Raw genomic sequence first — 19,338 nt, 5'->3', positions numbered from 1 at the left:
CCCCAGGAGTGGAAGCCAGGAACCTACACAGAAGAGAGCCTCCTTCACAAAGCTCAGTTCTTCTGGGTATCTTTTCGTTCTTTTTCTCTTCCCTGGACCTCACGAATGGGGAGATTCTGAGGGTGGGCACAGCTTTGAAATTCTCCCAGGAAGAAGGCAACAGTCCCTTTCTCCCCGACACCATCCTCACTCACAGGCCTGTGCTGCCCTCCTCCAGCAGTGCCTCAACTCTGATCCAGACTTCTACACACTCATGCTCTGACTGTTCATCCCTCCCTGCTGAGTCCAGAGCCTGACTAGACGTGCATGCTGAGCAGACAGGTCGGCAGCATCTGTGGGCCCAGAGTCTCCTCCTGCCCACCTCTGTAGGCTGCCTTTCCCTGGCCCTCAGTCCCTGCTCTGGCCTGGCCAGACAGCCTTTTCTTCCAGCATGTGGGCCTAAAGGTGCAGTCAGGGTGGAAGAGCCATTAGGGCACACATCCATCTCCTTCCCCTACCCACCTGGGAAGTCCCAACCAGAATCACCACCCAGCCCCACCTGGAAAACAGCTCCCAGAGCTTTCCCTCACTGCTGCTACCTGCCTGACCTCTAAACCTATCCCTAGACCGGGACCACTTCCAGCTGGGCTCACTGTCCCACCTGCTTAATGCCAAGGCCACAGGCTACCAGGAGCTCCCAGACTGGCCGGAGGAAGCCCCAGACCCATCTGTGCGCAACGTGGAGGTCAGCGGGGTGGAGGGTTGAAGTGTGTGTGTGTGTGTGTGTGTGTGTGTGTGTGTGTGTGTGTGTGTGTGTGTGTGTGTTGGTGGGGGCAGACAGTAGGGAGCCCTGGCAGTGCCGGCCCAGCCCTCCTAACACCCTCCCCCACACACACAGGAAGAAGATCTCTCCCTTATTGAGACTCACGTGGGCCTGTTGGGCGAATACACTGAGGTCCCACCTTCGTGTGACGTGTGCTCTCTCCCCTGCCCTGTCTGTGTCCCTCTTCTTCCCCTGTGTGTTGTGCTCCTGGGCCTTCCCATACTCTGTTTCCACCTTGGTTTGGCAGTGCTCCTCTGTGAGCAGCATTCCCTCCCCTCCATGGACAGTGCCCCTTTCTTCCTCCTCTGTTATTCCCTTTGTGGGACAGACCAGGTAGGGCCTCACAAAGAGGTGGAATAAAGGGTAAGGGCTTGTGCCTGCCTGCCTTCTCCCCAACCATGATGAAATGACCCTGCACCCTACCCCCATCTCCAGGTACCTGAATGGACCAAGTGCTCAAATCGGGAGAAGAGAAAGGAGAAGGAAAAACCCTTCTACTCGGACTCTGAGGGGGAGTCAGGCCCCACGGAGTCCGCAGACAGTGGTGAGCAGATGGCAGAGCTGGGGTCCTCTGTGCTCTGCCCATGCATCTGTGTGACTGACTATATGAGGGGTATATGTATATGGTTGTGTGTCTAGGGGTGTGCACCTGCTTGTGAATTGTTTGTGCACCTGAGGGATTCATGTTCCAGGTGTGTGTGCTTGTGCAGGTTTCTATCCATGGAGTCCATCTGTGTTTCTGTCAGTTCCAGCTGGCATGTAGGGCTGGGGGCAGGTCAGAGAGGTTTGAGGGTTCAGTACTGAATGTGAAGGTGGAACCCAGGTGTCTGCTCCAGACCCAAGGAGGCCTGCATATGAGGGAGGAGGCCTCATATTGTTCCTCCACAGACCCTGAGTCTGAGAGTGAATCGGACAGTAAGAGCAGCAGTGAGAGCGGCTCTGGGGAGTCCAGCAGTGAGTCCGACAATGAAGACCAGGATGAGGATGAGGAGAAAGGGAGAGGCAGTGAGAGGTGAGAAGGGAGCTAGCCAGATGGCTGGTGGGGTTCAGGGGGCTTTCCTGGAAAGAGGGCTAGCATTGAGCTTTAGCCAGTCTCCTAAGAGCCCCTGAGCCCCTCGTGAGCTGGGTGGGGCTGTCAGCTCACATGACGCCTACTTTCGCTGGCTGCAGGAGATCTCTGAGGCCTCATGGGCTGGTGTGGAGAAGCAACCAGAGTCCTAGAGCCTGAGCTGGCACAAGCTGGCTTCAAGCTCTCACGGGGTCCCTGCTATAGGACCTCAGGTGTGAACCCTCCTGGCTCAGGCTCCCCACACCACTCCAGCTTTTCAGCATTTCTCCTGCTTCTGTGAAGCAAGGAGGGAGTGTCCAGGCCAGGCCTGAGCCAACCTTTCCCACTCCTTCAGTGAACAGAGTGAGGAGGATGGTAAGAGGAAGACAAAGAAGAAGGTGCCAGAGAGAAAAGGAGAAGCGTCATCCTCTGATGAGGGCAGCGATTCCAGCAGTAGCTCATCAGAGTCCGAGATGACATCGGAGTCCGAGGAGGAGCAGTTAGAACCTGCCTCCTGGAGCAGGAAAACAGTGAGAGCCTTGGGGCAGAGTCAGGGTGTGCTCATGGGCCAGGGCCCTCCCCAACCTCTGGGCCAGGCCCAGACATCTATCTCCCTACCATCCAGAACAGAACATGACATCTTCTACCCAACCCAGAACATGCCAAGGTGCTCCCCTTCCCCACACCCACATCCCATTTTTCTCTTTCAGCCTCCCAGCAGCAAAAGTGCTCCTGCAACCAAGGAGATCTCCCTGCTTGATCTAGAGGATTGTGAGTTTGGGTGGTAAAAGTCACAGGGGAAAGGAGGCCTGGGGAGCATGAATTAGAACAGCCCATAGGGACTCTGGATCGGGTTCCTCAGGTCTTGTGGGAGCAGGGGAGCAGACAGAACATATCTTCAGGCCTGAGAGGGCAGCAGGGCTGACCTCCCCAGGTCTGGGGTTGAGGTCTAGGAATGGGTATTTTGCGAGAGCCTCCAGGCAGCCATGTGCCCCGCTGTCCATGGTGCTGAAATGCGTGCTCCTTGATCCCTAGGCTCCCTGCTCAACCCAAGCCACCTCCACTTTGCCTCCTCATAGTCTTATCTACTCCCACAGTCACCCCTCCCAGTGTCCAGCCTGTGTCTCCCCCAGCAATTGTGTCTACCAGTCTGGCTGCTGACCTGGAGGGCCTGACACTCACAGACTCCACCCTGGTACCGTCGGTGAGTGGGATGGAGGAGGGGACCGGGCTGGGGCAGGGACACATCCCTGTGCTGCATCCTATGGTGTGGATGTGTGTGGGGGGTGGGTGTGATGGAGGATGTGATAGCTTTGAGTCCCAGCTGCTGGATGGCCCTAGGGGACAATGCTGGGACAGGCTCTCTCCATCTTGCTCAGTTCTGTCCTTCCCTACCCCTCCACTCTAGCTTCTGAGTCCAGTATCGGGTGTTGGGCGGCAGGAGCTGCTGCACCGGGTAGCTGGCGAGGGGCTGGCTGTGGACTACACCTTCAGCCGCCAACCTTTCTCCGGGGATCCCCACATGGTGTCCGTGCACATCCACTTCTCCAACAGCTCTGATACCCCCATCAAGGGCCTGCATGTGGGCACTCCCAAACTGCCTGCTGGCATCAGCATCCAAGAATTTCCCGAAATTGGTGCGAAGGGCTTTGGATGGGGTGGAGGAGGAGGCTCCTGGGCAGAGTCAGTCTTTCTGTGGTTGCTGATACCCTCCTTGTGCCAGGCCAGGGGCCAAGCTATAGGGGCACAGAGATAGCATCTAACATGATCAACACTCTGGTGGACAAGACAGATGATGAAATAAGCAAGTTCACATCAGGGCGGGAGGTGCTTGCAGCAGCAGATTTGGGCCTTGGTTGTTTCAGGACTAACTTAAATGTGGTGAGGGTGAGTGGGGGAAAGGGTGCTTAGAGTTCAGGAGGAAACCGGGAACAGTCTCCAGCAGCCAAGAAAGCCAAGATTCTGTAGAGGGCTGGTCAGCTGTGACAGTGGAGAGGAGAGTAGGGCTAGGCTGGGTTCTAGACCTATCAGGTGATGGTGGCCCTCCCTCTCCCCTTCACTGCCTTATACCACTTCAGAGTCCCTGGCACCTGGAGAATCTGCCACTGCTGTAATGGGCATTAATTTCTGTGACTCAACCCAGGCAGCCAACTTCCAGCTGTGGTATGTGCCCAACTCGAGGTGGGGGTGAGAGGATGGGCTGGAAAGGGACAGGGTAACAATGAACTGGAAATGGAGGTGGTGCTTAGTGGGGATACATCATGATTGGGTGGGTCTGGAAGCCATCTCAGGCCCTCATTCCTGACCTCACTCTTTCACTGCCTCCAAGCTGTGCCTCTACACAGGGTGGGAAGTGAGGGGAGAGATGACAGCCTTAATTCTTCTCCGTTTCCTCCCACCCCTCCCAGCACCCAGACCCGACAGTTCTACGTCTCCATTCAGCCACCTGTTGGGGAGCTGATGGCCCCTGTGTTCATGAGTGAAAATGAGTTTAAGAAGGAACAGGGTGAGTGCTCCCTGGGAGTGGGCAGAGAGGGAAGTATAGAAGCTGACTCCAGAATGTCCAGCTTGGATGGTAGGGAGAATGGTGGTGTCCTTCATCTAGACCAGGGGTCAGCAAACTTTCTGTAACGGGCCAAAGATAAATGTTTTAGGCTTTGAGAATCATGTGGTCTCTGTTGCAGTTACAACACGACTGTGGCTGTTGAAACATAGAAACATCCACAGACAGTATGTAAATGAACGAGTATGGCTGTGTTCCAAGAAATTTCCATTTATATTTATAGATACTGAAGTTTAAATTTCATGTAATTTTCATGTGTCATGAAATATTAATCTTTTGATTGCTCCCCCAACACTTAAAAAATATTAAAAACATTGTGGGCCATATAGGTGGTGGGCTGGATTTGGTCTGGAGGCTGTAATTTGCAAAACCTCTGGCCTAGAAGAAAGAAGAGTGGCTTGGGCAAGGGAGGAGGGAAGATCATGGTTAGTTTTGGATAAGCTGATTTTGAAATGCATTTGGGAAATTCAGGAGGAGCTATTTAGTATGCAACTGAAAATATGGGTCTATGCCCAGGAAACACTTTGAAGCTGGAGTCATGAACATAGAGGTGGTAATGGAAGCTGTGAATATGAATGAGATCACTCTGGGAGGTGGGAGAAAATAGGAAGGCCAAGGACAGAACCTTGGGGGAAAACCTGAATTCTGCAGAAGAAAGAGGAGGGGAGGGATAAGAGAAGGAGCACAGGGAGAGGTGGGAGGAGAACCAGGAGAGACAACAAGGCAGAAGGTGTCTGCAAACCACAGTTACCTAAGACCTTCAGAGTCAGCATATAAAAGGCTACTGCCAACCTGAGGGAGAGAGGGTCATTGCTAAAGGAGGGACAGAGGCCAACTGCAGTGGGTTGAGGGAGACCACGGCTCAAGTACATGCAGTCCTCTTTGGAGGACTTTAGCCATGAATGAGGAGGGAGACAGGGCATTGGCACGATGAAGGATCTCACTTCTGGAAAGGATTTTTTGGAGACGGGGACACTTGAACATGAACAGATTGAAGGAACAAAAACAAGAAAATGTTATTAGTCATGAATGAAGGGGATAGAAGAAACAGGAGAGGGATGTCAGTTTCTAAAAGGAGGTGAAGAATAGGGGAAGCAGTGGAGGGAGGAAAGAGGCTGAAGAGAAGACTGCTGGTGTGCAGGAGAGCAGACGGAGGAGCTCCCATGGGGGGCCTGGATCATGTGAGTGGAGAGAAGTCAGCCTTGCAGAATGAGGAGTTCTGGGGGTGCTGTGAAGGTTTGGAGGCTTCAGGAGCCCTGGCTAGGTCTGGAGCTGCTACTGCAGAGGTACAATTAAAAATGTACCTGTGAATGCTGCATGTGACTACTGGATTCTGGCTGAGAGATCACAGCAGCCACCTGTGATCTTTTTGTGAGGGCTTAGCTTCCAGGAGCTGAGTGGGAGTTGAATGTGGGTTGGAGGGCCCCCCAGGAAAGATCAAAGGGTGTGAGGTTCAGGATGGGCGAACCTCTTAAGAACTGACTGGCCACTCTCAAGGGGCTGGTAGCCCAGATGTCTGATGGAGGAAGCGCCAAATCAGTCTTTGGTAACAACATGGATAAAGGCCTGGGTGGGAGGGGTAGAGAGGCTGACAAAGGCTTCCTGAGGGAGGGCCCAGTCTGAGAGGGAAGTACCTTCTCCCCAAGACTGATGATTTAAATTCTGACCTGCCCTTTGCATGATACCTTCCCAGCCTGGGAGAACTTGTTGCTCAGTAAGCAGACCCAGGTGCTGGCCTCTGTACCCACCATGGCCTCTGCCCTCATCACGACCTCTACCCCCAGGAAAGCTGATGGGCATGAATGAGATCACAGAGAAACTCATGCTGCCAGACACCTGTCGGAGTGACCACATTGTGGTGCAGAAAGTGACTGCCACTGCCAACCTGGGTCGTGTTCCTTGTGGGACATCTGATGAGTACAGGTACTAGGCCACCAGTAGAGGGGAAATGATGAGCATGGGGGCCCTGGTTTGAAGGAGGAGCCCCAGCTGCTGATCCCCTTCCAAACACAGTCACCCTTAGCAGCTCTTCCTCACCCCTTCTATTCCCACCTCAGGTTTGCAGGGAGGACACTGACTGGTGGAAGCCTCGTTCTGCTGACCCTGGATGCCCGGCCAGCTGGAGCTGCCCAGCTGACTGTCAACAGCGAGAAAATGGTGATTGGCACCATGCTGGTAAAGGATGTGATACAGGCTCTGACCCAGTGACTTCCAAATGCTGTGACCTGTTTGGCTCCCATCTATACCTCCCCATGACACCTAGGCTGTCAGTCTCTCTCATCTTTCTCTCTCTCTCTCATCATCCTCCTCATGCCAGATAGCATTCAGGGTGTCCTCTCTCCCTCTGGAGGACCAAGCCCTCCCCTAATGCCCTCCCCATGGATTCCTTAGTGATCTGTGCAGAGAGAGATGGCAGCCACTCCCTTCAGTCCTCCCAGATTTCTGTAGCTATTTATGTAGCAGGCTCAATAAAATGTCTTCTCTCTAGCTGCTGGCTCACCTTTCCTTCTAGGGGTTTGTCAGGAACAACTCTTGTTGAATCCCCAAGGTAACCATCTCTGGGTCAGGATGCCTAGGAGTCTGCAGGCATCTCTGTGGAAGAGACATCTGGGCTGGGGTGGCAAGGCAGAGCTGGAAGAGCACCTTGGTCCTTTTTATAGCCTCTGCAAAAACAAGTCCTCTTCAATGGCTGGCAGACCCCCTTAGTTCTTCTTACGGTCCCTTGGGAAGGAAGGACTCATAACATGGGGACTTCCCCAAACACAGGTGCTCAGTTCAACATATGTCAACTACTCCAGTTAGGGGGCCTGGAGGCCCCACCTGGCTGGGGTACTGACCCACTGGTCATCTTAGTGGAAGAATAGAAGATGCATAACTGTACTTCTCAAACCACTTTGTGGCAAGTCACCTGGGGATCCCATCACATGCAGATTCTATTAGTAGGTCTAGGGTGGGGTCTGAAATTCTGCATTTTTTTTTTAAGTGAAAGCAGCCGGGCGTGGTGGCTCACACCTGTAATCCCAGCACTTTGGGAGGCTGAGGTGGGCCAATCACGAGGTCAAGACCAACATGGCCAACATGGCGAAATCCCATCTGTACTAAAGATACAAAAAATTAGCTGGGCATGGTGGTGCGCACCTGTAATCCCAGCTACTTGGGAGGCTGAGGCAGGAGAATCGCTTGAACCCAGGAGGCAGAGGTTGCAGTGAGCTGAGATCGTGCCATTACACTCTAGCCTGGACGACAGGGTGAGACTCTGTCTCAAGATAATAATAACAATAATAATAATAATGTGAAAGCAAATTTATTAAGAAACAACAGAATGGCGACTCCATAGGCAGAGCAGCAGATTCTGTATTTGTAACAAGACACCAGCATCTGCTCACACCTGGAACAAACCTGGTGGGTGCAGTGGGGGTCAGGGCTCTCCCTGACACCTTTTCTGGTGAAGAAAGAGGCTGAGTGAGCAGTGGTTCTAAAACGTATAAAAGGTGTTCCATTAGGATGTGTTCTGTACCCTCCCGCCCCCTGCAAAGTCTATGATCAAATAAGTTTAGGAATCTTGGATTTAAGTGAAATAAGTTCATTTCCTACAGGTCTTCTCAGAACTTTTACTATGCTAATGTACACTGTGACCACCTCTCAGCCTGCAGTGTTACTCAAACTTGGTTTTGATTTTGGAACACTTTCCTCACAACATCTTGATTGACTGGGTTACAAGGAACACACTCCAGTTAGTTTGAGATGTTGAACCTCAGCCTCTGATCCTCTGTGACCAAGACTTTAGGCCCTTGGCCATACTGTCCCTCAGCCCTGCCACTTAGGCATCCCTGAGCATGTCTGTTCATGGGTAAGATGGGGTGAAGCAGGTGTGGCTGTCCTCTCACAGAAGGAGAACAAAGGCAGTGCCAGGGGACAGCCCTGCCTCTGGCTCCAGGGACTTGCTGGGCACTGTGACACCAGAGAGCTGCTGGAGCTGCTGCTTCCCTGAGAGCCTGGGGCCCCAAAGTCTCCCTGGGATCACTGTTTTTGTCACTGCAGATTCTGAGATGGTCCTCCAGTCAAAAGTAAGATTCAGTCTTACTTTTGCCTCTGAATCAGCACTACCCACAGCACTGAGAGAGGGTGAGGGTGATTTTCTAAGAAATTTGAACAAGGACCATCAGAGAATCCCTTACCCACCTTTATTCTATATCAAAAGCCCCAGAGTAGAGCTGGGCATGTGTCTGTAGTCCCAGCTACTCAGAAGGCTGAGACTGGAGAACTGCTTGAGGCCAGGAGTTCAGGGCTGTATTGCACTATTATTACACCTGTGAATAGCACTCTATCCTGGACAACCTAGCAAGACCCTACCTCTAAAAAAAAATCCCCTTTTAAAAAAATGGGATTCTGTAGGAACCAGAAGTGCAAAAGGCAAGTCCCACAACATTCCTCAAGTACAGTCCAGGTTCCCAGAACCTCTTGGAAAGGGCACTGGGATTTCCAACCCTGAGAGTCCAGAGAGTTGGAACCTTCACGGCTCTGTGTTGGTGTCTCTGGAATGTGTCCCAGGCTTTGGCATTAGCAGTAGCAACTCTTCATAAGGAAATGGTTCTGGTGTTTGACCAAAGAGAGAGGCAGGAAGCAGGAGAGCAAGGTGTGGGCAGGGGAGAGTATGACTGCAGAAGGAGCCCAGCGGGGAGTGGTGTGCTGCTGGTGAAGGCTGGGCTGGGAGATTGGTGGGGCAGCAATTTCCCACCCAGGAGGAGCATGGGGCCTGTTCTGTGCTGAGTGAACGGTCTGGAGTGAGAGAATCTCAGTCACAGAGGAAGGGGGAGTGGTTGCCCCAGCTCTCGTTCCAGCCCAGCCCATCTCTTCCAAGGCCATACCTCCCACAACCCTACCACATGAGCATACCTGAGCGAGTGTGCAGGGATAAGATGGGGGCCTGCCCAGCACACACAGGTGGAAGCAGGTCAGACCTGCAGGGGCTGGGGGCCCCCACATCCCCCGGGGGCATTTTCCCCAACCCATATCGTATTCTGTATTTTATCACTGGCCCAAGTCTTTGCCACTGTGGTGACACTTTGTCCCCAGGTTATTAGGGGCCTGGTCACAGAGTGTCTGGATCTCAGTTGGCAGGGAAAATGCTTCCCATGAACAGCCTTTTTTTTTTTTTCTTTTTTTTTGGGAGACAGAGTCTTGCTCTGTTGCCCAGGTTGGAGTGCGGTGGCACAATCTCCGCTCACTGCAACCTCCGCCTCCTGGGTTCAAGCAATTCTCGTGCCTCAGCCTCCTGAGTAGCTGGGATTAGGGATTACAGGCGTGTGCCACCACGTTTGGCTAATTTTTATATTTTTAGTAGAGACGGGGTTTCGCCATGTTGGTCAGGCTGGTCTCGAACTCCTGACTCGTGATCTGCCTGCCTTGGCCTCCCAAAGTGCTGGGATTATAGGCGTGAGACACTGCACTCAGCCTAATTTTTTGTATTTTTAGTAGAGATGGGGTTTTGCCATGTTGGCCAGGCTTGTCTGAAACTCCTGAGCTCAGGCAAAACACCTGCCTCGGCCTCCCAAGTGCTAGGATTATAGGCATGAACCACCATGGCTGGCCAGTCATGAATAGTTTTGATGGGACAACCAGGGAACTAGCCCAGGGCTGTGGGATTCAGGTGGGGCCCAGGACCACAGGACGGACTGGGAAGCACTCTTAGGACTCTGCTGGTGCAAAGGAAGGGCCGAAAGTGGCCTGGAAGTGGATAGAAGCACAGGGACTGGCACAGAGGCAGTGACAAGGATGGGGTAGTGCATCAGTGGGGATCTAGGTCTGAGCCTGACCACAGGCCTTGATGGGTCAGAGGACAATGAGCTCAGAGAGGGGCTGGGAACTGGAGTCTAGTCCAGGATGGCTTCAAAACAATGCCCAGGCAAATGGGCAAGAGAGACAGCTCGTTTCCAGCCAGGCTGCATCACCTGGCTAGCTGCAGTGGCTGGTGACCCGGGGGAATAGATCCATTTAGAGATACCAAGGAAGCCACTACAAGGACCCTGGAGTTGCGACATTAGCTGTGCCCATGCTTGAACTCCCATCTGTCTGGTGACTAAGGCAAACCCCTGCACTAGTTCAGCCTATTCTGCTTGGCATCTTGACAGTCACCTCCCAATAGTGTATCTTCCACATCAAAAGGATGGGTGTTGAGGGTGGAACTCAAAGTGGGAGGACTTTCCCTGTCCTGGCTTGGAAAGGAAAGGGAAAACTGGAAAATTCTGACCCACCCGAGGACCTCAGCCTGAGTCTTCCTTCTGTCACCACCTGGTCTTTTGGCTCCCAGAGTCAAGAGAAGGATGGTGAATTGGTCCCTGGGAGGGTGGAGCCCAGGTTGGGATATGGAGAATAAGGATTAAAAGTGGCGTATCCTCAAGGAAAAGAAGCAGTATATACCTTTTTGGGTCTTTGACTTGATGGCTCTGGTTTGACCCCAGTCTCTCTCCCTGCATCCCCAATCCCACTGACCTGTCTAGAAGAAAGCACTTAGGGCTGAACTTTTTGATCCTGACCTTTGGGAACCCCCATTATTTTCCCATTACCAACTGCCCCCTTGCTGCAGAAGATGCTATGGTGTCACTGAGGCTTCGCTTCCCTATGGCATCTGGAGAACAGAAAGAATGCTTCTCTCTATCCAGGCCCCAAATACATTACGCCCCTGGCTTTGGAAATATATTTTTTTAAAAATCTAAAGTTTCAGTATTTAAATTTATGAATCTGTAAACATATAATTTATAAATTTATGAATATTTAAGTATAGTATTCCTACATAAAATTGTACAGATCACAAGTGCTCAACTTGATGCGTTTTCATAGACTGAATAACCCATGTAAACAGCATCCAGCAAGAAAAAGCGTGGCAGCACAACTTCCTCATGTCTGCTTCCAGTTTGGGGCAGTGTTTCATTTTGCTGAGAGATTACAGAGTCCTGAAACAGTTTGACACCAGGCTCCAAGTGGCAGTGGGATTTCAGAAGGCCAACATGGATTTGTGTCCAGCAATGCCAACACAGTGGCAGATGCTTCTCTTTGGGGCTATTAGGGATGTGTTAACAACAGCCTCTGTGGGAGGGGCAGGGTATGTGGAAATAGGAGGGTTGTCTTGTTTTGGCTGTGAAGAATGTAAGGAAACACCTATGGAGGAAGAGGAATTCTTGAGAGCTTGGGCAAGGTGACTTTGACCTTGGATGTGCTAAGACCTCAGCATCTGTACCTTCAGAGGGAAGTCAGGGAGGGAGAGGTGGGGTTGGTGTTTCTCATGGGTACCAAGGCAAGACCAAGACCCTGGACTCCTGACCCTCACCAAGAAAAGCTGCATACTCTCGAGTAAATCTCTGAATGTCTCAATTTCCCCAGCTGCAAAACAAAGGGGATGGCCTCTCTGATTCCCATGTCTCTGGGCATCCACTAACCCATTACAAGCATCTCAGGACAACCAGCACTCACCTTCAACCTCCAAGATACTCCCCAATGATCTTTGCTACCTGATATCTGTATCCTTGTGTCATTCCCTCCCACATATTATCAATGTTGGTGTTATGTGAATAATAGGATACAAATGATGGTATGTCATTTCTCAGATTAGGTTATAAAATTCTTTGAACCTCCATCTTGGTTGTTCTCTTCCTCCCTCTCAAGCCAGCTACCATGTCTTGAGCAGCAATATGGAGAGGTCCATGTGACAAGGAACTGAGGCTTTTGCCGGCACCCACTTGAGTGAGCTTGGAAGCTGATCTTCCAGCCCAAGGCAGAGCTTCAAGTGACTGCAGTTCTGGCTGACATCATGACTACAAACTCATGAGAGATTCTGAGCCAGAACCAGCCAGCTAAGCCATTCTCTGATTCCTGACTCCCAGAAATTGTGCAAGATAATAAATATTTGTTGTTTTAAGCTGCTTAGCTTTAGGGGTAACTTAATAGCAATAAATAAATAATACAATCCAGCCTTCCACCCATCTCCTAGGTTGTTGGGAAAGCCCTCAGGGAGCCTGGATCCCTGAGTCTGGCCTTCAGAGCACTCTGCTCCCACATTCAGTGTCTGAGTGGTGTGCCTGAGTTGGCTTCTCCTGGCTCATGAGGGCTGACTGTTATTACACATTCAGGAATTTTGTGAGCCAGATGATGTCACACTGACAATTTGAAATCAGCCGTGGTGGGAGTTTTTATGCCATGGAAAGAGACAAATGCTACAAATCACTTCCCTCCCCCAGCCAATTGTCAAACATTTACCAGCACATCACGGCCCTTAATTATCCCCATCTCTGTCTCTTTAAAATATTATTATGTATTTCAAGTTTAGAGACTATCATAACCACCTGTATACTAATCATCCAACTTGAGAACTGAAGCACTCATCAGTTCAGTGCTCATCAATCCAATGTCCCCCACACCCCTCATTTCATGACTGCTTCCTTTCCCACCTGAAGCAAATCATTCTGAATTTTCTGTTTATCAATAACATCCTTTTTTTTGTACTTTTACTATAGATAGACGTGTTCCTAAACAATATATAGTACCATACTTTGTGATGGTGGTGCGTACTACACGTTTTCAAATTTTATATAAATGGCATCTGAGAGTATGTTTTCTCCTACATCCTGCTTTTTCACTCAATATTGTTTGTAAGTCATGTTGATGTGATCTGCTGTATTTCATTTACTTTTACTTATATATAGAATTCCATTGTATGACTATACCATAATTTATTGATCCACTCTCCTGTTGGTGGGCATTTAAGATTATTTTATTTTGTTTTGTTTTTGTAACTATTAACAAAACAGCTACAGACATTTTTACTCATGTTTCTTAACACGTATGAAAGTTTCTCTAACATATTTTCCTAGGAATGGAATTGCTGGGTCATAGAGTATACACTTTTTCAAGTTAACTAGAGAATCCAAATTGCTCACCAGAGTTGCTATACTTCACATCAATAATATTTCTAGCAGCTTTATTCATAATAGTCCCCGAAGTGGAAAGAATTCAAATTCCAATCAATAGGAGAATGCAGAAATAAATTATGGTGTATCTACACAATGGAATACTACTTAGCAATACAAAGGAACAAACTACTCCTACATGCCAACAACATGGATGGATCTAACAGGTATGTTGAATGAAAGAAACCAAAAATTATATGAAGTCTAGAACAGGTTAAATGAATCTGTAATGAAAAGCAGTAAGGTAACGGTACCTTGAGGAGGGAGGTATAAAGTGGGAAGGGGCAGGAAGGAACCCAGTGGGGGTTCTGGAGAGATTCTATGCCTCCATGCGGGTGGTGGTTACCTCGGTATACACTTAAGATTTGTGTACTGTGGCCGGGCGTGGTGGCTCACGCCTGTAATCCCAGCACTTTGGGAGGCCAAGACAGGTGGATCACAAGGTCAAGAGATCCAGACCATCCTGGCTAACAGGGTGAAACCCCGTCTCTACTAAAAATACAAAAAATTAGCCGGGCGTGGTGGCGGGCGCCTGTAGTCCCAGCTACTCAGGAGGCTGAGGCAGGAGAATGGCATGAACCCAGGAGGCAGAGCTTTCAATGAGCCGAGATCTCGCCACTGCACTCCAGCCTGGGCGACAGAGCGAGACTCCATCTCAAAATAAATAAATAAATAAATAAATAAATAAAAAAGATTTGTGCACTCTATGCATTGCCTTCTCTCCATTAAAAGATATGAAACATAAAAGCACACACCAAAGTAGCTGAATCAGTTTACGCCCTCACTAGCAGTGATCCTGCTACTGGGACAGTGAAAGTTGATCATTTTTTTCCATTTGAAAAGTGTGGCACGGCATCTGATTGTGGTTTCATTTGCATTTCCCTGGTTACTGATGAGGGTGGGCATCTACTGATGTTTCTTGGCCATTTGGATTTTCACTTGTGTCAACTGCCCATTCTCATCTTTTGCCCATTTTTCTGTGGAGTTGTGTTTTTTCCTCATTGATTACAGAACTTCTTACATAGTCTGGAAACTAGTTCTTTGTAAATACATGGATTGGAGATACCTTCTTCCAGTCTATGGCTTGTCTTTTCAAGCTTTAAACAATATCTTTAGCTGGGCGGTGGCTCACGCCTAATCCCAACACTTTGGGAGGCCGAGGCGGGCGGATCACGAGGTCAGGAGTTCGAGACCAGCCTGGGCAACATGGTGAAACCCCGTCTCCACTAAAAATACAAAAATTAGCCGGGTGCGGTGGCAGGTGTCTGTAATCCCAGCTACTCTGGAGGCTGAGGCAGAAGAATTGCTTGAACCCGGGAGGCTGAGATTGCAGTGAGCCGAGATCGTGCCACTGCACTCCAGCCTGGGCGACAGAGCAAGACTCCACCTCAAAACAAACAAACAAACTCTTTTAGTAAACCAAAGTTTTTAATTCCAGTGTGGTCAAATGTATTGTCTTCCTTTATATCCTGTGCTTATTGTTCCAATCTTATTTTTCCAAGTTTACAAAATTCATCCACGGGCTGAGGTAAAAAAAAATTCTCCTATATTTTCTTCTGAAAAAATTCTAAGTAAAGCTTTTCAGAATTGTATTTTTAACTTACTTTTGTGTACGATGAAAGGTGGGGCCAATCCACTCTTTCTTTTTTTTTTTTTTTTGAGATGGAGTCTCGCTCTGTCACCCAGGATGTAGTGCAGTGGTGAGATCTCGGATCACTGCAAGCTCCGCCTCCTGGGTTCATGCCATTCTCCTGCCTCAGCCTCCCAAGTAGCTGGGACCACAGGCGCCCACCACCATGCCCAGCTAATTTTTTGTGTGTATTTTTAGTAGAGACGGGGTTTCACCATGTTAGCCAGGATGGTCTCGATCTCCTGACCTCATGATCTGCCTGCCTAGGCCTCCCAAAGTGCTGGGATTACAGGCATGAGCCACCGCGCCTGGCCCCAATCCACTTTTTTATCCCACTTAAAAGGAACTTGAAAAAACAAAGAACATGGTTTCTTCTGTACAGAGCTTGGCAAAACTTGAGCAGAGACTGTGTGTGTCTACCTTGTGGTCTTGAGTTCCTGAGTGAATTCCTTTTCTTATCTTTTGCAACCAGGAAATTATTTTCTCCCATCAAACTTCTCTCTTCTTTTAGCTCTCTGCCTCCTGCAGAAGCACTGAACACTTGAGCATATAAAAGACTATAGGGTCCCTCCTGTTTCCCTAGTACACATATTTAAAATGTAGTCCAGCTAATTATATAGTTGGACTTAAAATCAGTATTGTAAGTCTGGGGCTTGACTGCAGAGACAGTGCCAGGCATAGCTGGGCTCAAAGGCTGTTTGTTGACTGGGAGAATAGATAATGCTGCCTATTTGTTTCTGCTGCTTCTGCCAGTGACCAGCTGTGGGGACTTGACCAAGTCATTTAATAAATTCACCTCTGTCACTTTCCACACCCTGCCCTGTGGATTATGGTCACCTTCAGAGGGACTGTTCTTCCTGTATGACCTGCAGGCCTAGCCAAGTCCAGGTAGGGAACAAGGACTTGCCCACACCTGAGGTCATGACTGCATTTGGTCAAAGTTACCTCTTCTCTCAACATCTGCAGTCAGCTCTGGGGTCATTCACAGATAAGCACACACATAAGCATGCTGGAAGTTTTATTCTCACCTGGTTAAGACTTCAGGCTCTGAAACCAGAAGACTGCCTTGGTTTGAGTCTTTGCTCTCACACTTTTAGCTGGGAGTCTTTTGGCAAGTTACTTAACTTCTTTGAGCTTCAGTCTCATCTGCAAAATGAGATAACATAGGTAAAGCACTCAAAACTTTCCCACGCGCACAGTAAGTGGTCAGTGAAGACGAGCTATTATTATTACCTGCAACAGAAAGTTTAGGGAGAGAGATTTTAGGCAGCAGAAGTTTCTGTTCCAAGTCTCTTGAAAGATGCCTTCATTTTCTTATGGTTGACAGTTTTGAAATATGACAGGGCCTCCAGACACCCGCTCCCTTGGGCACTATTCTGGGTTTCAGGTTCTTATCTTGCTCAGCTTTTGGGTCAGAGAGGAGGAAACGATGTCAGGGATCACAAACTGGCAGCCGGTGAGCTGCATGGGGCCCCTGGACATGCTGGGCTTGGCTCTTTTCATTTGAATTAATAACCAACATTAAAATTCACATTCAAGATTTCACTTAAAAAAGTACTTCCAGCTTTTCTTGAAAGATGACTGGGCTGGGACCTCGTTTCTACATGGTGCCCACCAGCTAACAGCCCTTTTGGGTGTGCCTTGGGCCTTCAGTGCTGTCGCCCACCCTCACTTGGCTCCTGTGCTGTAGGCATCTGGGTGTGCCACCCTATCAGAAGCAGCCATCCTACGCTGCTTGTGGGCCAGGACAAGACTCAAGTAGGCTACTCCTGGAGAAAGCATGGCTCAAGAGGTAGGGGTCCCAGCGAAGTTGCTCCTGCCTTGTCCCTGTAGTCATCACCCTTTCTGCCCATGACCTCAGCAACCCAAAGAAGCTCCTGTAAGTAGACCAAGTGGATGGAGACTGGCCAACTCCCACTGTCACTCACCCCCTCGTGGACTTCTACTCTTATGCTCACCACCCTTCCCCCCTTAATCCTTCTGAAACACTAGACTATAATATCAGCTTCCTCTTTCTCCATCACCTCAGGCAGAAACTGACAGTTACCTGTCCCTCTCCCCTTAGCCATTAGATCAAGCCCAGGAAGACGGCAGCACCATCCTTCCTAAGTGCCAGGAGAGGACCGGAGCATAGTTAGTGCTTATTAAATAGTATCATGATAACATGACACATGTAAAACACTTAGCAATGTTCAATAAACTCTGGTCCCTTTCCTCCCCACTCCAGTCCCTTGTTTTCCCCCTTTTCTGTCCAACCTCTTCTATGTCTCCAGCAACACCTTAAAACAGACCCGACAACTGCCAACCCCTTTTACAATTCTCTAATAGTTTTCCTGCTGTCTGCAGAATAAAGGCCCCTTACAAACCGGGCCCAGGCTTCCCTCCGGCGGTATCAGGTCGCATCATCCTCAGTCCTGGTCAGAGGGAGCCGCTCGGTGCCGTCCTCCCTCTCTGCCTTTGCTTGATCTTCCGCCTGGAATGCCATCTCCGACTCTGCGTTTGCCTGGGGTTTCCGGTCCGCCCCTGCGCCAGGTGCCCTAGGACGCCTGCCCTGGAGCCCTCGCCCTATCCCTTGCCCTATTTCTGTGAAACTTTCTATCTCAGTGTGTCAGGAGCGCCGGAAGCGGTTTCTCCGGAGAACTCCGGTCCAAAGAGGACCAGTGATGTCTTTGGAACTTTCTGGAACTTCCTGACTCTCGCGGCCCCCTCTGCAGCGCACGGAGCAGAGGGTCTAAAGTGAGTGCGCCTCCTGGAGCCCAGGGGCTACAGTTCCGACCAAGGATGCCAGGGCAGGCTCTCGCCCTGGAGAGATCACTGGAAGAGAAGGAGCGCGGACACGAGGCTCTACTGACGAAGCGATCGCCGCCGCTCGCAGGGGCTTGTAAATCGTGCCCTCTTTCGTTAAGAGGGAAACTGAGGCCCAGGGCAGACAGTGACTCGGCAAGGGTCACTTAGGTGATGGCGCGCTCAGGCTTAGGTCTCTGGCCCCCCAGGGGGCAGCTGTGGCTAGCAGCGGCGGCAGTCCCCGCCGGGTTCCGGGTGGGCGGCGGAGCCCTCCTCGGCTCGGCCTGCTAGGAGGGGCGGGGCGCGAGGGGGCGGAGGCGAGGGCCCGGGCGGGGCCGACACAGGTGCTCCGCATCCGGCCGGGGGGCGGCTCCGAGGAGCGGCTCGTAGGAGCTTCATAAGCTGCCGGGGTGCGGGGCTGCGCGCGGCCCGCTGCAAAAATAGTGCCCACGTGCGTGCGCGTCTCTCGCCCGCCGGCTGGCCGGTCAGCCCGTCAGCCCCGCAGGGCCACACCGGCCCCATGGCGTTCCCGCTGGTAAGAGCCACCCGCCGCTCGCCTGGGCGGGGCCGCGTCCCGGCCGCAGTAGCTAACGGTCCGCGCGCAGCCGGGTCCGGCGCCGCGGTACCCCCATCCCCCGCCCCGTGCGGGCGAGTCCCGGGCGGGGCGCGGTCACGTGCCCGCGGGCGTGGGGCCTCGTGGAGGGGTGGAGGGCGAGGGGGGCAGGGAGCCTCCTCGTGACTCAGGGCCTTTGGGCTTAAAGGCGCCGCAGCCCTGCGGGGGCGGCCGGTGGGGCCTCCGAGCCGCACTGCGGCCTCCAGGCGGCCTCGAGCGTCTGTCCAGACGGGAGCTGACCGGACATAAAGGAGCACCGGCGCCCGGAACGTTTCTTTCTCACACTGCCGTCGCACGGGAGACCCGAAGCCGCTGGCGCTGGAAGCTCACGCCCCCTGCGGGTCTCTTTAGCACCCGGCGCGCGGTGGGGGCGCCCGGGCGGGACGGGGCGGGGCTGCTGACGGCGTAGACCCCGTGCTCTGTGGAGAGCCCCACGACGGCGGCGGTCGCGGCACCTTTAAGGTGGAGGGCTCAAGCCCCTCGTGCGGCTTCCCAATCCTGGGCAGGTCACGTGGCTTCACACCTTCGCTTGGCGCCGGAGAGGGAGTCTCGGGGGCGGGGCTGGCCAGGTAGTGTGGCGCGAGGGCGGAAGACTGGCGGGGCTTCGTGCCCGGGAGACCCGCCGGGCTGGCGGCATTGAGGTGGGTCCTGGTCATGGGCGGGAGAGGGTTAGGCTTGCAGGCCGCGGAGGTGGCGTAGGCGGGGAGCGACCCGAGCCCACTCTGGGCTGTGCTGTTCGGACCCTCAGCCTGGCGAGTGGGTGCATGTGGCCTGGCGTTCTGGTCATTCTCCTCAGTGCCGGACGAGGCCAGGTGCCCAGACTCAGGGGCGGCCTCAGGTTTGGCGGAGCAGCGGCTGGGGCCCTGGACGAGTCGCCCCCCGTGATGACGAGCGGTTGGGCGGGCCTGTGCCCGCCTGGAGTCACCTGAGTGTGG

General features: G+C 51.7%; 2 protein-coding genes and 1 long non-coding RNA gene across 31 annotated transcripts in view, besides 3 other annotated features; 2 read left to right on the top strand and 1 right to left on the bottom strand.

The window, feature by feature from the left end:
* The window catches only part of AP3B2 (adaptor related protein complex 3 subunit beta 2), a 50,595-nt gene extending 43,695 nt beyond the window's left edge, over positions 1-6,900 (top strand). For 2 of the 4 annotated variants that reach the window (NM_001278511.2, NM_004644.5), the window contains 11 exons: positions 606-724; positions 1,238-1,346; positions 1,691-1,814; positions 2,206-2,380; positions 2,561-2,621; positions 2,948-3,054; positions 3,259-3,487; positions 3,929-4,013; positions 4,259-4,356; positions 6,198-6,336; positions 6,471-6,900. In NM_001278511.2, the coding sequence (NP_001265440.1) occupies positions 606-724; positions 1,238-1,346; positions 1,691-1,814; positions 2,206-2,380; positions 2,561-2,621; positions 2,948-3,054; positions 3,259-3,487; positions 3,929-4,013; positions 4,259-4,356; positions 6,198-6,336; positions 6,471-6,621 (1,397 nt within the window). In that variant the 3' untranslated portion in view covers positions 6,622-6,900. Of the gene's footprint in view, positions 1-605; positions 725-877; positions 935-1,237; positions 1,347-1,690; positions 1,815-2,205; positions 2,381-2,560; positions 2,622-2,947; positions 3,055-3,258; positions 3,488-3,928; positions 4,014-4,258; positions 4,357-6,197; positions 6,337-6,470 lie in introns of those variants that run through there. The other 2 variants (NM_001278512.2, NM_001348441.2) reach the window with 2 other exon arrangements.
* Positions 1-18,411, bottom strand: part of CPEB1-AS1 (CPEB1 antisense RNA 1) — a 45,051-nt gene extending 26,640 nt beyond the window's left edge. Inside the window, exons 1-3 of the long non-coding RNA NR_046096.1 lie at positions 17,373-18,411; positions 16,240-16,410; positions 16,035-16,152 (exon numbers count right to left, since the gene is read on the bottom strand). This is a non-coding gene — a long non-coding RNA (CPEB1 antisense RNA 1). The remainder of the gene's footprint in view (positions 1-16,034; positions 16,153-16,239; positions 16,411-17,372) is intronic.
* Positions 2,710-3,004: a silencer, noted in NCBI's record as "tiled region #5793; HepG2 Repressive non-DNase unmatched - State 10:DNaseD, and K562 Repressive DNase matched - State 20:ReprD". NCBI's record gives its function as "represses a minimal TATA promoter and a strong SV40 promoter by Sharpr-MPRA in HepG2 and K562 cells {active_cell/tissue: HepG2 | K562}" and the evidence as "EXISTENCE:reporter gene assay evidence [ECO:0000049][PMID:27701403]".
* Positions 2,767-2,967: a silencer, noted in NCBI's record as "peak2403 fragment used in MPRA reporter construct". NCBI's record gives its function as "represses an SCP1 promoter by STARR-seq MPRAs in K562 erythroleukemia cells {active_cell/tissue: K562}" and the evidence as "EXISTENCE:reporter gene assay evidence [ECO:0000049][PMID:32103011]".
* The window catches only part of CPEB1 (cytoplasmic polyadenylation element binding protein 1), a 105,595-nt gene continuing 103,642 nt past the window's right edge, over positions 17,386-19,338 (top strand). For 13 of the 26 annotated variants that reach the window (NM_001387076.1, NM_001288819.2, NM_001387068.1 and 10 more), the window contains exon 1: positions 18,818-19,044. Coding sequence is in view for 2 of the 26 variants with exons in the window: in NM_030594.5 (NP_085097.3) it covers positions 18,311-18,325 (15 nt within the window). In the remaining 24 variants the exon portion in view is untranslated. Of the gene's footprint in view, positions 17,962-18,130; positions 18,326-18,572; positions 18,745-18,817; positions 19,045-19,338 lie in introns of those variants that run through there. The other 13 variants (NM_001365245.1, NM_001365246.1, NM_001365240.1 and 10 more) reach the window with 5 other exon arrangements.
* Positions 18,029-18,598: a silencer, noted in NCBI's record as "silent region_6750". NCBI's record gives its function as "represses an Ori minimal core promoter by ATAC-STARR-seq in GM12878 lymphoblastoid cells {active_cell/tissue: GM12878}" and the evidence as "EXISTENCE:reporter gene assay evidence [ECO:0000049][PMID:35858748]".

Source organism: Homo sapiens, chromosome 15, assembly GCF_000001405.40.
Source record: "Homo sapiens chromosome 15, GRCh38.p14 Primary Assembly".
In the NCBI taxonomy this organism is placed as follows: domain Eukaryota; kingdom Metazoa; phylum Chordata; class Mammalia; order Primates; family Hominidae; genus Homo; species Homo sapiens.
The sequence above is the reverse complement of the archived record's forward strand: the minus strand, read 5'-3'. Positions and strand labels throughout refer to the sequence as shown.